Source organism: Homo sapiens, chromosome 3 (genome assembly GCF_000001405.40).
Source record: "Homo sapiens chromosome 3, GRCh38.p14 Primary Assembly".
NCBI classification, from domain to species: Eukaryota; Metazoa; Chordata; class Mammalia; order Primates; family Hominidae; genus Homo; species Homo sapiens.
The window spans coordinates 81,080,180-81,094,926 of NC_000003.12; the positions used below are offsets into that span (position 1 = coordinate 81,080,180).

At 33.5% G+C, this 14,747-nt stretch overlaps 1 long non-coding RNA gene across 1 annotated transcript in view; it reads left to right on the forward strand.

Moving 5' to 3' along the window:
- Window positions 1-14,747, forward strand: part of LINC02027 (long intergenic non-protein coding RNA 2027) — a 101,780-nt gene that overhangs the window by 86,312 nt on the left and 721 nt on the right. The window lies entirely within an intron of this gene.

Here is a 14,747-nt window from a genome sequence, read left to right on the forward strand (position 1 = left end):
GAGGCCAAGGCGGGCGGATCACGAGGTCAGGAGATCGAGACCATCCTGGCTAACACGGTGAAACCCGTCTCTACTAAAAAATACAAAAAAAGAAAAAATTAGCCGGGCACGGTGGTGGGCGCCTGTTGTCCCAGCTACTCGGGAGGCTGAGGCAGGAGAATGGCGTGAACCCGGCAGGCGGAGGTTGCAGTGAGCTGAGATCGCGCCACTGCACTCCAGCCTGGGCGACAGAGCCAGAATTCGTCTCAAAAAAAAAAAAAGATAGTTGAATTAAAATTTTTCATTAATTAAAAAAAAACAAATGAAACCTTAGATTTTATTACTTCGATTATTTTCCTTTGCACCTAACAAAGGCCAGTTTCAAGCAGAAAGTAGCAGTTTATTAGCAGTTGGGATGAGAAAGAAAAACAAATAATCTCAAAATGTGAAAAGCGCACAGAAAAAGCAAGTCTTGGCATTCTGTTCTGGAGGTATTATGGAAATTAAAACACTGTTTATTCACAAAAAAGCAATAAAGCCCAAAATGTTTACATAGTTCCCCCAAACACTAACAAGCATTGATTGCCTCCTGCCTTCTTGTGCGCATGCCCATGTCATTGCCACATTGCTCTACCGTCTGGCCAAAAGCTTTGGCATTTCTCATAGCTTTCACCCTGTGCTTCATGTTACTTCCTTTATGTGGAGCCTCTTACATTTGTCCCTCAGAATAACTCCTCCACACCTGATAAGGCCAATTTGGAGACGTGTCCCAAACCCTCCAGTCAGTCCTGCCAGCTTCCTTTGCTAGGCTCCCTGAAAGCCTTATTAACATTTTTAAAATAAATCGGTGTACACACACACACACATACACACACCCACACGTGTGTATATATATATTTTATTCTAATTACATATTAGCTTATTGGTTTTCATTATAATTGAATTTTGCCAGGTTAGAAATCATGCTTTATCTATTCCTGTGACACTGTCTGACATGTAGCTGGTATTCAAAAAATGTTTTTTATATGAGAAAATAACTGAATATTAACTTACTTTATGACCACCTGCTAAATATGTTGACAAACTATCCACATTACAAACCCCACAAAGCAAATGTACATAAAGATTTCATACTTGGTTAACAGTTCAGGATTCCATTAAATTGTTTTCTGTTTATACAAAGATGCTGCCACCATTTCATAGCTAGGATTTAGGTCTAGTAATATGTTTAGGGGTAAAAAGACTGACTGAAAAACTAAACAAGAGAGGCAGTGGTTTGTGTGGATAAGCCGGCTGAAATGCGCTTTAGATTACTAATTGTATATGTACTAGATATTTGTTATCTAGTACATATAGAACTATCTCTCACTTCATGTGATTTTTCTGTTCAATTCTTCCAATCCTCAAGTGCCACAATAGCGTGGATTTGTTGTAGGCTCCTTCTGTGAACAACAGAGAGATTTTTCCTGAAATACATTCAGAAGTAAATATAATAAAAGGTTGGCTGGGCGCAGTGGCTCACGCCTGTAATCCCAGCACTTTGGGATGAGGAGGCGGGCGGATCACCTGAAGTCGGGAGTTCAAGACCAGTCTGACCAACATGGAGAAACCTCATCTCTACTAAAAATACGAAATTAGCTGGGCATGGTGGCGCCTGCCTATAATCCCATTTACTCTGGAGGCTGAGGCAGGAGAATCGCTTGAACCCAGGAAGTGGCGGTTGCAGTGAGCCAAGATCATGCCATTGCATCCCAACCTGGGCAACAAGAATGAAACGCTGTCTCAATAATAATAATAATAATAATAATTAATAATAATAAATAAATAAAAGGGTCAATCGAAATACTTATTTTAGAATCCCCCTAAATGCAAGAGAAAGTAGATCTTTATACTTTCCAAGATCAGGAAGTTTAACAATTAGGTGTGCCTGGATATGCTTGTGGCCATATTTCTCAGCACAGACGTGAACTTTCAGAAAATGAAGCACAACAGATGAAATAACCGCCGTGAGAGATGGAGAAAGAGAGAGAGGTGACGAATGTACGAAAAATGAAGGTTTCTAAAAATACAATTCGATCACTTGAGCGTAGTGATGCCTGAGTCTACCTAGCTCAAGTCTAAGACTTTGCTGGCAAGTGATTTTTAAATTTTGGGGGGATTAAGCTAGATGGAACTTTGTCTGGCTTTGACAGTAAGGGTCTTGATCGTACTGCTTTTTAATTATTTCCATTAGCATGGTTCTTTGAGAACTTATGAAATAGTTTATATGACTTTACATCCTACAATATAGTAGTTAATTGTGAAAATCCATAACTCAGGATTCACTTCAGATATATTAAGTAGTACTTATTCACATAACCAACAAATTCTCATAAAATCTAGAACCAAATGAATCTTTGAACAAGTGTAATAATTTCATACATTATATTTTGGAGAGACGGATTATTAACTTAAACTTCATGTATCCAGTAAGTTTGAGCTTCCAGCTTCACAGTGTAGACTACAACAATGATGAAGAGAACATATAAACTTCTTGCCTATGTTGATTTAAAATCTGCATTTGTTTTATTCTGGTTTTGCTAAGTTATTCATTTTTAATTGACAGGTAAAAACTGTATATATTTATATAATATACAACATGGTGTTTTGAAATATGTATACATTGTTATTTAGATACACACTAAGAATGGCTAACACCTGCGTTACCTTACATACTTATTTTTTGTGGTTATTACACTTAAAATCTACTTTCTTAGCAATTTTCATGAATAAAGTACACTTTTATTAACTACAGTCACCATGTTGTAGAATAGATCTTTTGAACACAATCAACATTCATGTAATGTCTAATCTTAACACAATACTGAGCAAGCATACTCTTTCTTACATTTGACAGTTCATCGTATGTTTGAGTACAGCTATTTTTTCTTCTGTGTCTTCTTAATTCTAAGTTAAACAGCTCATATTCCTCAACTATTCCTTTTGAAATAAAATCCAGAGTATCTGCCATTTTCCTTACTTCTCCTGGGTGCTCTCTGTTTTCATTATGTCATTTTTCTCCTAAAATGTATTGGATGTGCTTCTTCTAAATTGAAAGCAATTTGCAAAATGTTTTCTACCCAGATTAGCATATAATGAACACATTACTAATCATGACTAGGATACAATATAGTTATTGGTGCAGTCAAAGTCTGTGTTATATTTTAAGTGTAATTGAACAATATTGAACTGCGGTCAACTAAAACCCACAGATCATTTACACACAAATTGCGCCAAACACGGAGCTTTACTAATTCACATGAAGATGTGGAAAACTAAGCAATTCATCTACTTTCCTCTATTTGCTTTTGTGCATATTTGGTTATTAAGAAGTATGGATCAAGTAATAAACTATTTAGAACTATAATTTTGAAGGTCTTTAGCAGATTATTTTACAAAGATCATTTAATGTAAGTTGGCTGAAATAATTAGCATGAATATGTAATGATCAAACAGCTAGAGGACTGCCGTTTCATTTTTAACTGAATTGTGTAGTTGTGTTTAATTCATTAAATTAATTAAATAGGTTAATACTATTGTAGACTCTACATTTAATATGTATTCTGAGAGCTAAATTTTCATTACCACATATTTTATGTTATGTGATGATAAAATCTAAAAATGCTTAGTTTATAAATTGTGTAAAATAAACAAAGGCATGAATTATTACAAGAAATGCCTCAACAGTAAAGAGGACAATTAATAAAATGTTTAGACACACATGAAGAAAAAATACAAAATACATACAACTGTAGGATTACATATTTTTTCAAACAACTTTATAACATGAAAATATTTCTATTATTAAATAGTCTTCAAAATTACAAATTTTAACTAATAGACCAGGATTTCCTGTGCCTTAGTAATCAGTCTTACAAGTTTGTGGCCTATTTTTTTTTTAATTATTGTTTCTAGCTGAACCGAAGGGAGTTACAGAACAGGACTTATGGCTGTTCTGAGAGCCTTTTAGTATGATGATTCCAAAATATCTGGATAACAGAGCTATTTGTCTAGTGCCTTATGCTAAGTTAGGAAAATCTTTGGATTCCTTGTTAGCCAGTAGAATCTGAAAGTGACAAATACTGACTGACTTCATGCCTGTTTGCACTGTACTCCATTGTACTCTGTAATCTTAATGTATAGCCCATCCCTGGAGATGGATGAAGCATAGCTGGATGAGCTGAGGTGGTCTCTGGTACAACACCCAGATCCATTTCTGTGCTGTATTTTGTCAGCTTAATTTATGCCAGCTTGGACCTGGATGGTAGCAGTGGAGCATCCATAAAGCATCAAATGTTCTTAATCTCTCAGACCTATTATCCACAAGAGTGTATCTCATAGTCATGCTTGTTTGAGACCAGGAAATTGGCACTTTCTTTGTGGCATGTTTCTGATTATGCGGCCGTGTCTCCTGATTATATTGATTTCCTTCAAAATCTTTTGGCATTTAAACTGTGTTTGATTTATTGCCAGGAGATCTACATTTATTACTTGTATCAATATGAGCTCATCATGGAAATTTTTCCATTTAGTAGTCATGTATTTGTACATTAAAAGGTGCAGTGTGCAAAAGAAGGGAGAAGGGAGATTTTCATTTCTCATAAAAATCTCAATTAATAACCCCATCATGCAGATATGACAAATTATGAAATAATTTATTTTCTTGTCATTGTTTTAGATTTTACTTTCTGTTTAGTTTTTGTGTTTGAAAAAAAATGAGAATTTATGCTGTTATCTGCCAGATGATAGGAGAAATTTTTTTAAGTGTGTTATGAAAGGATGCAAAATACATCATACTTGATGAACCAAGACCATTTTAATCCCAGAATATTCTGTGCTATTTGAAGTGCACTGTTATAAGTTCTAGTCTAGTAAATAAGTTATATTATCCTTTCTAAATAATTATGTAGCCTTTTAATAATTCTAAATAATTATTTCCCAAGGAAAACTAAATCCTTACATCAAGTGGGCAACCATTGGAGTTAAGAGGTGTGGCTTCCTAAACATGCCATCCTGCTGAGACTCTGACTGACGTAGAATATGTTTTTGGATACCTAGACTTGCCTTTTTTCATCATAAGCAATGGATGAGATGAATATAATACTTGGGAATACATTGTTATACTATTCAAACCTCTGACATTTCTGCTGTTTTTTGGCTTCTAATACGTGTTTAGGTCTGAAGCCAGCCTCATCATTTTTTATCTTATTTCCTTCTTTTTTAATATATTGATTTTAATATATTTATATTTTTTATGCTCAAAATTCATATGTTCATTAGATAGTTTTTATATGTGAATCACCTAATTCTATGTTGTATTGGCAATCCCTTTCTATCTTCGTAATTTGTCATTTCTTCACAACAGTAATAAAACAATTAAAAACTGTCTTTTTTATTATATATTTGATTATTGAGTTTGCTCAACTTCCTTCTTCAGGAAAACCAATATTTTGAACTTTGTATCTGTTCTCTTTCCTATATCTCTATCACCTTATTATCATTTTTACTTCTTATTTTTCTACTTTTTTGACTTTCAATGACATTTCTATGTTTTAATTTTTCTAGGGTAAATAATAATTATGCTATTCATTTGTAGTTTTCTTATTCTTCCTTATTTCATCTATCTTCATTTTTCTATCTCTTTTTACCAACACTTTCTCCAATTCAATTGTCCTCCATCTCTTCTATTGTCTCCCTTATGTGAATCCAAGCCTTAATACTATCTGACAACACAAAGTAAATGCTTTCCAAATTTTTCTTGTAGTCAATCCTTTCAAGAGATTATTCTTCTCCAACTTGAATCATTATTTTCTCCTTTTCCAATAAATAATCTTGTAAGAGTTCTCACTTTTATTTATTTTCAGTATACTAATACTTCAACCAGAAATATCAGTTCTAGTCATATTTTTGTCTATAAACAAGGTGGAATTCCTTGTTTCTCCTCTTTTTGTATTTTGATGTCAGAAAGTACTCCTTAAGTGATTACCCTGGAAGACTTGGAGACATGTATAACTCATCACCAAATTTCAAAATAGCAGCAATCATTCAGTATTGTGTGGCTGGATGATTAAGGAATGTGTTGTTTCCACTTTCTGGATATCTTAAACACTCTGAATTTATCCTATTAAAGAGAGAGGGAAGGAGATTGAATATGAATAATAAGCAAGAACACCCAGGGAACAGCTTCCCCACGATTTTCCCCACATATATTCTCCGTACTTCTCAATCCACATGTCCTATGTGAACTTCCAAGACCTATCCATTTCTACCTCAGACCTGTATAGTATTTCTGGGAACTACTATCTAAAAGTGATGGGGAAAAATGTTATGGTTGTGTAATAAGGTGGAAGAACAAACAGTGGGTCATAGATGGTGGTTCTCAGCAGTTAAGTGGCACATTTCTTGGTGGTGTAGACCAGGACTTTCTTACCTTCACAGATATATTTGGTCAGGTTTACATAGTCCTTTAAGCTAATTTTTTGTTTCTGTTTTTGTTTGTTTTTACATTTTGAGTTACCTTAGACAAGCCATGTACTCACTTGCTATATAATCCCAACTTTATGAATGAGAATAAAGTCTGATTTGCAGGTTTCTGTTGTCTGCGGCTTCTGGTGGGTATTTGAATTTACAATCTCAGGAAAGACCTCAAATTTACAGGAGAGGGCCAGCAAACTTAATTATGCCATATCTGGAGCATCAGCATGGTGCATTCATTTGAACACATTTTGGCCTAACAAGTTTTGTTTGGCCTAACAAACTTTCACTAACAAGTGAAAGTTTCTCTCCCAGATTTTAGTGATAGAGCAGTTTTTTAGTGTTAGTGTTCAATATAATGATAAAATTTTGTCTCCTGTTGAGCTATCCTTAGATATTTTAGTTGGAAAATAAAATAGTTAAATCATAAACTTGAAAACAATTCAATTTCTAGAAATTTCCTTCAAGGCAAATTTAATCAATTCTCCTCACTTCGTAGATTTATTTTAAGAGTTTCAAATTGCCTTCCCAAGGTTATATTGATATTTATGGTAGGCCTCAATCTAGGGACAACATTCTTTCCACACTCTGCACATGTCAAATATTTCATATGGAGCTTGTTATTTTGCCAGTCTTGTCCAACTTTTAAGGTACTTTTTATATTTATTATTTTCCCCTTAAGGGCATCCATGGAAGTCATTATGTGAAAATTCATGTAATTCTAATAAAATAAAAACCAGTTTAGATAATTTTTTAAAATTTTATTTCTAAAACACTGTTGCTAATCAATTATTCTATTTTTTTTAAAGCTAAAGTGCCTCAGGTTGCTCAATAGTAGGTGATTTCTTAAATTTTCCAGTGAAAATATCCAAAATATTTTTTGTCAATCTATGTAGGTAAACATGAGAGGTGCTAATATTTCTTATGATATTTATTAATTTGGTTATATATTTGACATGTAAAATTATAATTAACAAAATTTTTAAAAGAAAATTATGACATACAAAAATACAAATAAACACGTGTCAAAGAAGTAGTAAAATGTTACAACCAGTTCAAAGATCATCCCAGAAGCTAGGATATTTACAGTCAAAGTTAGGATAAGATTGCCATATTAGATAAAAACTGGTTGATATCCAAAAATGTCACAATTCTCTGGTTTATTTGTTACACTGGATGGAAATTATTTTGCAATTCTACCGTACAAAAGTCTACGAGTTCACAATTAACCTCACTATTTCTATAGCACTTAATCAATATTAAATAGTGAGTTTAAATACATTCCTTAGAAAATTTTTTGTGGCTTTTCAATTCATATAACATTGAAGAATGTACTGACTACCTTTCTTGTCTTATTTACAAATTTTGGACAACGTTTTCTGACATACCAATTTCAAATTGTAGTTTTCCACTAATATTTCATAAAGCAGTTTATCTCATATGAACAATTTTATTTCAATCAATGTCTTTATGATTATTTGGGCAGGTTGTGGGGTGTAAAACACATTTCTTTAAATCACATCATCTTTATTTCTCATTTGTTTTCAATCCAAAGCATTTTGAATCTATTATTTTTGTTGTTCCTTAGCAGAAGGACCCTCTTCTTATTTGTGATCTCCAAAACATAACCATTTACTTTATTACCTTAAGTAATCCACAAAAATTTTCTTTGCAGCAGCAACATTTGAATTTGTGAAGTCAGAGTCAGAAATAAATCAATCTACATTAATTCAATTTCTTTGCTCTTCACAATTTTTCTAATCACTGTCTTGCATGTTCTTTATAAGGATTCAAAATTAGCATAGATCAAAGACATTTTTTGCTAATGTGTATTCCCAATACATCTTTATTAACAACAATAATGTAATTGAGATATTGTCCCCATAAAATAAAAATACAGAAATTAAAACTAAAAGTCTTTCTCAAGATTTATGAGAGTTAATTTTGGGGCCAAATAATAATTTCCATTAATTTTGACATTAACAAAATTTTTTTCAACTAATCTTTTTGACAGAGCAATTTATGGGTGATGCCTGTTACTCCCCCTCTTCCCCAGAAATAACAGGGACATTTTTGATGCTCTCAAGATTAATTGTTAAGTTCACTTAAGAGTTTACTAATTTGTGAATTATACTTTATCCTTAAAGCCAGTGTCATTTGTTTAACCCTTTGTTTACTGTTTAATCACTCCTTTTAGAATAGTTTCAAACTATCTATTTACAAGATCACAAAATTTTTGTCTTATATCTTTGAGAGTTATGTCTTATATTCAACATTTTAACACAGTAGTAAAAAAATCCATGATATATGTTCGAATAACATACCTATTTATTATGATCAATGTTTACAAAAGAGATCCTGGAATTAAACAAAAGATACCCTAGTGTCACTAATAGATACCTGGTAAAATTATCACAATTTTAAAGAAGATGTTGATGTTTTATACCATATGAAAATATTCATTGATTATTAATTATGGTGCTGATAAGTACTACATCTAAGTCTACACGTACCCTAAGATAATGAAAATTTTACATAAATAGCATTTTGAATGACCATAATGTATAAGAAGGTTTGGAGAGTATCTCTGGACTATCTATTATACCATCCTTTCTTCTTTTTGCTTCTTATCACTCAGTACTCCCTTTCAGTTACTGGATTGTGAAAGATGATAAGACCAAAATTTTAAATACATACAGCAATTGGTAGATCCAATAAATAAGACAGCTAGCTACTAATACTCAGTTTACACCAGGGGGTCAGAATCTGCAATAAGGGGCCCCTAATGTTCCATCGTAATTTACTTACAATTAGACGTATGCTTTATTTCTGCTATTTGCTAAGGCTTACAATTATAAACTTTTAATAAAGTCAGAAAAGGAACTGGACTTCTCTGTAGCTCATTAAATCCATTCCATTTTACTTATATGCAGGATTTAAGTACACTTTATTGTCGGTAGTATCCACACTAGTTTTACGTGACAACTGAAAGCCTAACAGCCCATGGTTTATCTCATAACAATTTCCTGTTCTGTCCCAGATTGATATATCTTTGCAAATGATCTAGCTGTATCTCCAAGGCTGTTTTACAAAGGCCTATTATTACTCTGATTTAGTTGTTTCGTCAATTTCCAGACAACCAGTAATACGGCAAACACATTCACATGCTAATATGGCCTCAAGGACATACCTGAATTTAAAGTCAAGTAATCACACTACAAAATAAAACTTTCTTTTCTTCTGAAAGGTGGTGCCTTTCTTATACCAGGCTTAATAATCAAATGACTATTGCATTAATCACGGGTAGTCTCTAAGATATGAAAAATTAGATTTTAAAAAAATTTCTTACTCTCATCCATTAAAACCTAGACACAAAATAAATGTTTAGATTCCATAGTGTAAATTGCACATTAATGTGTCTTCAATTACGACTTTGATAACTACCCATAATATAACTGATCTCAAAGTGAGGGCACAAATCCTTTGAGAATTCAGAGATTTAAATTATTTTTGTTCCCCTACACCATGCCTTCATCTCTGTGTTTGCAACTATGCCTCTCTCTCTCTCTCTCTAGAGTTTGAGAATGAAACAATGCCATTCTTTTCAAATTTGTTCTTCTTCATGGAAGGCTCAACATATGGTAAATTTCTGAGATTGAGTGATTTTCATTTGTTTTTTTAAAAAAAAAACTTCACATTTTCTTAAGGGAATATGTGCAAGTCTAAGATATTGCAATACTCTGGCATGGAATAACAAGAAAAGGAAGCTACAAGGATAAAATATGCTTGGAGAAAGAAAAAGAATATAAGGCAATCTCAAATTTGTATATAAATGTGAATACAACACTGTGATCAATTTAATATGTTAAAACAATTGAGGAAATTTTTTGACTATAAAAATAATCAGGAAAAGCAGAAAATCTTGGACATGGGCAAAAAGGATTTCTGGGTTTTCTTTCAGTGGCATGCCAGTTGTTGCCTAAGAGACTCTGGGGATCATCTGATGCTATTGGGGTGTGTACCACTTAATGTCCTTGACTAAGCTATTAATAGAATTTAACTTGCAGAAAACTGAGAGTAATGCACATTCTTCATGGTCATAGCGATGAAATGGCTCTAATTCAATGCTGATGGAAATCAATTTTAACTGGTAGAGCAGTGGTCCCCAGTGTTTTTGGCACCAGTCACCAGTTTTGTAGAAGACAATGTTTCCAGAGACAGGGGGCAGGGGTGGTGGTTTCAGGATGATTCAAGCACATTACATTTATTGTGTACTTTATTTCTATTGTTATTACATTGTAATATATAATGAAATAATTATACAACTCACCATAATGTAGAATTAGTGGGAGCCCTGAGCTTGTTTTCCTATAACCAGAAGGTCCCATCTGGGGGTGATGGGAGACAGAGACAGATCATCAGGCATTAGATTTTCAAAAGCTGTGTGCAACCTAGCTCCCTCCCATGTGCAGTTCACAGCAGGGTATGAGAATCTAATGCCACTGCTGATCTGATAGGAAGCAGAGCTCAGGTGGTAATATGAGTGATGGGGAGTGGCTGTAAATACAGATGAAGCTTCGCTCACTCACCCACATTGTTCACCTCCTGCTGTGCAGTCCATGGCCCAGGGATTAGGGACCCCTGTGGTAGAGGATGTAAATCTCTGTGATTCAAATCTTTATTTTACTGACTTTAAACTCTTTCTGGTTCCCTCAGTAATCAGAGTTCAAGATTGACATATGCATATTTTATATTTGTATGAGAACAATGGTTTTAACATTTTATAAACTCAACTTTTACTAATTACTACAATTATGTGTGTCAAGAATAAAATAAAAATTAAGAAAGATTATGTTTAGCCCCTAATATGAAAAAGTTACTATTTGCCAGATCATGTGACTATAGACAGTCTAAGTTATTCTTACAAACCAGTTACATTTAAGAAGTTGTGGCTTGAATGAATCAAGTATATTTTAACATAAGTGATTGACTATATTGGAAACAGACTTCATTTTTCTTTATTTTGCCTTTGGAGTATTCTTTCATCCAGTTTCATTTTATCCTAGTTTGTGCTCTCACAGTCTTCATTGCTTTGGTAGATCTGTGTCTGCTTTTGTTGAGAGGACTTGTCCAAGAAGGATGAACAGTCAGTGTCAGTGTCAGAAGACACCAGGAATGCTGTGCAGTGGGGATTGATCTAAAGTCAAATTGGCCTAGCAGATTCTAATATAAACTGCATATTGTACTGTTCTTATAGTTTTCGTTAAGGCTGAGTAAACACAACTTTAAATAATGATAATAACAAAAGTAGCCATCTTTTCTGTAAATTGGAAGGGGACTATACAAAAGGGTAAAATGCTGACAGGTGGTCAGCAGTAACTCCTGGACAAAGTAAATATGGGTGGCTGAAGCTGCATGAGACACTCCTCTGACTAATGGGGAATAGAAGCCTGGTCAGAATACTGTTGATGCCTATGCAGATATAACAGAGAGAGAGGAAATTTCAAAGGGTAGCCTCAGGTTTTCTTGAGCCAAGCATATTTGGACTTTATTTTTGTGACCTCTTTTGTTTCCATTAACTGCTCAGGACTAAAGGACAATCCTTGAGATTATCACAAAGAGCTGAGATGTCTCCCGTTATATGTGCACAGACCCACAGTGGGAGAGATTGCTAGACCTGTGATTTAAATCAAATAGTTTTTATTAAAAACTTTCTCCAATAACTAATAACTTTCACTAAAGTTCTTTTTATTATCCATTATCAAAGTTCCTAACTGCAGCAGCAGCTGAAGTTAAAACTAATATAAAAGTTGCTTTGTTGAGTTTTTTCCTTTCTATTTCTCTCTTATATTTGAGCAGCATGAACAAATTTTTACAATTTTGAAAATATGTATTGATGGATCCTGGCAGCATTCAACTGAGGGATAAGAATAAGAACACTCATGGAATAAAATAATTTAAGAAATTCAAGGTTGTATGCAAATTTATGAAGCTATGTAATATCTTGCTTCATGAATCTATTTCTTTAAATATTTTCTGTGAAAATATAAAAGAGAAAGCTTTTATACCTATAGTGTTTTCCTTAAATAAATTATCATTTTGGAAGAATTTTTATATTTAAATGTAGATGCCCTAAGGAAGGATTTATCTTAGTTCCAATAATTAAACATATTAAATTGCATATAATGGGTAAGATATTGTGAACTAAATTATTAGGTGAGCTGCCTCATGTTTTATGTGGAATACCTTTCATAGTAGTTTTCATGTTAATGCCTGGCAAAATGATTTTTGTGATTTGAAAGCAATAAACATTATTTGCAATTTATGATCAAGTTATTCATCTATCCACTCAATGTATTTTTAGTGAGCTCTAGTTTGGTTCAAGCATTTTTGTTCTGCCTATGGGACAGGGCAAAGATAAAAGTGGGATTAGAAAAGCACGTAGTCTAGGCTGAGCAAAGTGGCTCACACATGTAATCCCAGCACTTTGGCAGGCCAAGGCAGGCAGATTGCTTGAGCCTAGGAGTTCGAGACCAGCCAGGGCAATATGGTGAAACCCCACCTCTGCAAAAAATATAAAAAATTAGCCAGGTTCAGTGGCACTTGCCTGTAGTCCCAGCTACTCAGGAGGCTGACAGATGGGAGGATCCCTTGAGCCCAGGAGGTCAAGGCTGCAGTGAGTGGAGATTGCGCCACTGCACTTCAGCCTGATTGACAGAGTGAGACTGTCTCAAAAAAAAAAAAAAAAAGAAAAAAGTAAAAGGAAAACATGTACTCCTGACATCATTCATGGTAGAGACAGACATATATGCCCCAACTATTTTTCAAATTCTAGTGTAGTTTGTACATTAGAATAATGGAAAACAGTGTACTATGAGGCCAGAAAGAAGGAAGAAATTAATACCAACAAGGATAACTTATAAAGACTTCAGGAAGTAAGGGGAAAATTATCTGAACTGCAAAGATAGGTGTAAGTTTATTGAGCAGAGATGTAGGGAGAGAGGGTGAATAGGCACTAGCTAGGAAGAAGTACACCACAGAGACAGAGCCATAACCATACACAAGGAGTAGAGAGACTAGTAAGAAATTCAGGATGACTGGAGGGTTTCGTATGTATATTGCACATATGAAATGTACGGGTGGGATAGGTGGCTGAATGCTTAGATTGCTGAGAACATTGCATGCCAAAATAAGGAATACTGATAAAATTAGTCCACAGTGGGAGCCACTAAAATTGTTGGTCCATTGTGAAGTGATGTAACAGAGCCTCAAATTTGCATAAATAAGAGGATTATGAATATGGTATTATTCTCACAAAAATGAATGACTAGTCCAATAACTCAAAAACAGTAAATTACAAAGCTGGTAGTAGAACTTAAATCTTGCCAGTACAACAGTTCAAGTCTATCCCGGTTATATATAAATTGGAAAAGTTTCCTTAAATATCAGGCATATTATTTTCATTGATATTTTTAATCTTCCAAAGAAGATTAAAAAAATTATCTGGAATAAATGCCAAAAAATTATTTTTAAATGTATTGCTCCAGAGATATTCAATGAAGTATTAATTTCAAGTTTTTGCACATAAGACTAGAATAGAAATATTGAATAATACTAACAAGTATGTTAAGACAAATAATGAAATCTATTTTAACTATTTTTAAAAGATTCTCTATTATATAGAAAGAAAGGTCATGGAACTCAGTACCCAAAATAAATTATTGAAATTTTCTTTAAACTAACAATGTATATTTAGAATATGTTTTCTGTATTTTAAACATTGTACTCTAGATCATTATCTTTCCATACTAAAAAGCTAACTCCTGTCACAAATATTATACATTTTATGCCTAAAAATATCTAAATATATGTTTTAGTTTTACATTTTATGTGGGAGTCAAAAATGTCCTAAAGAAAGGCATCTTTTAAAATTTCTTAAGCATTTCCATTTTTCTACAAAGTCCATGTTACACTTAGGTTAAAAAGAAGAATGAAAACCCCTCAAGCCAGATTTTATGACTTTTTATATCACACTGAAAAGTCCAATGAACTACAGATTTCAACCATGGAGATTTGTGCCCTACTATGAAACGGTCAGTATTATGAAAACTGCCATTATATTTTATGATGCTATTTGACCTCTACATAGGTACTTTCATTATCTGACAATAATATTCAATTTGCAAAACTAGCCCTAGTCATTTTAAGCGCCCAGCATGCAGGAAAGCATTAAGCATTTTGTGTTGGTTTTTATA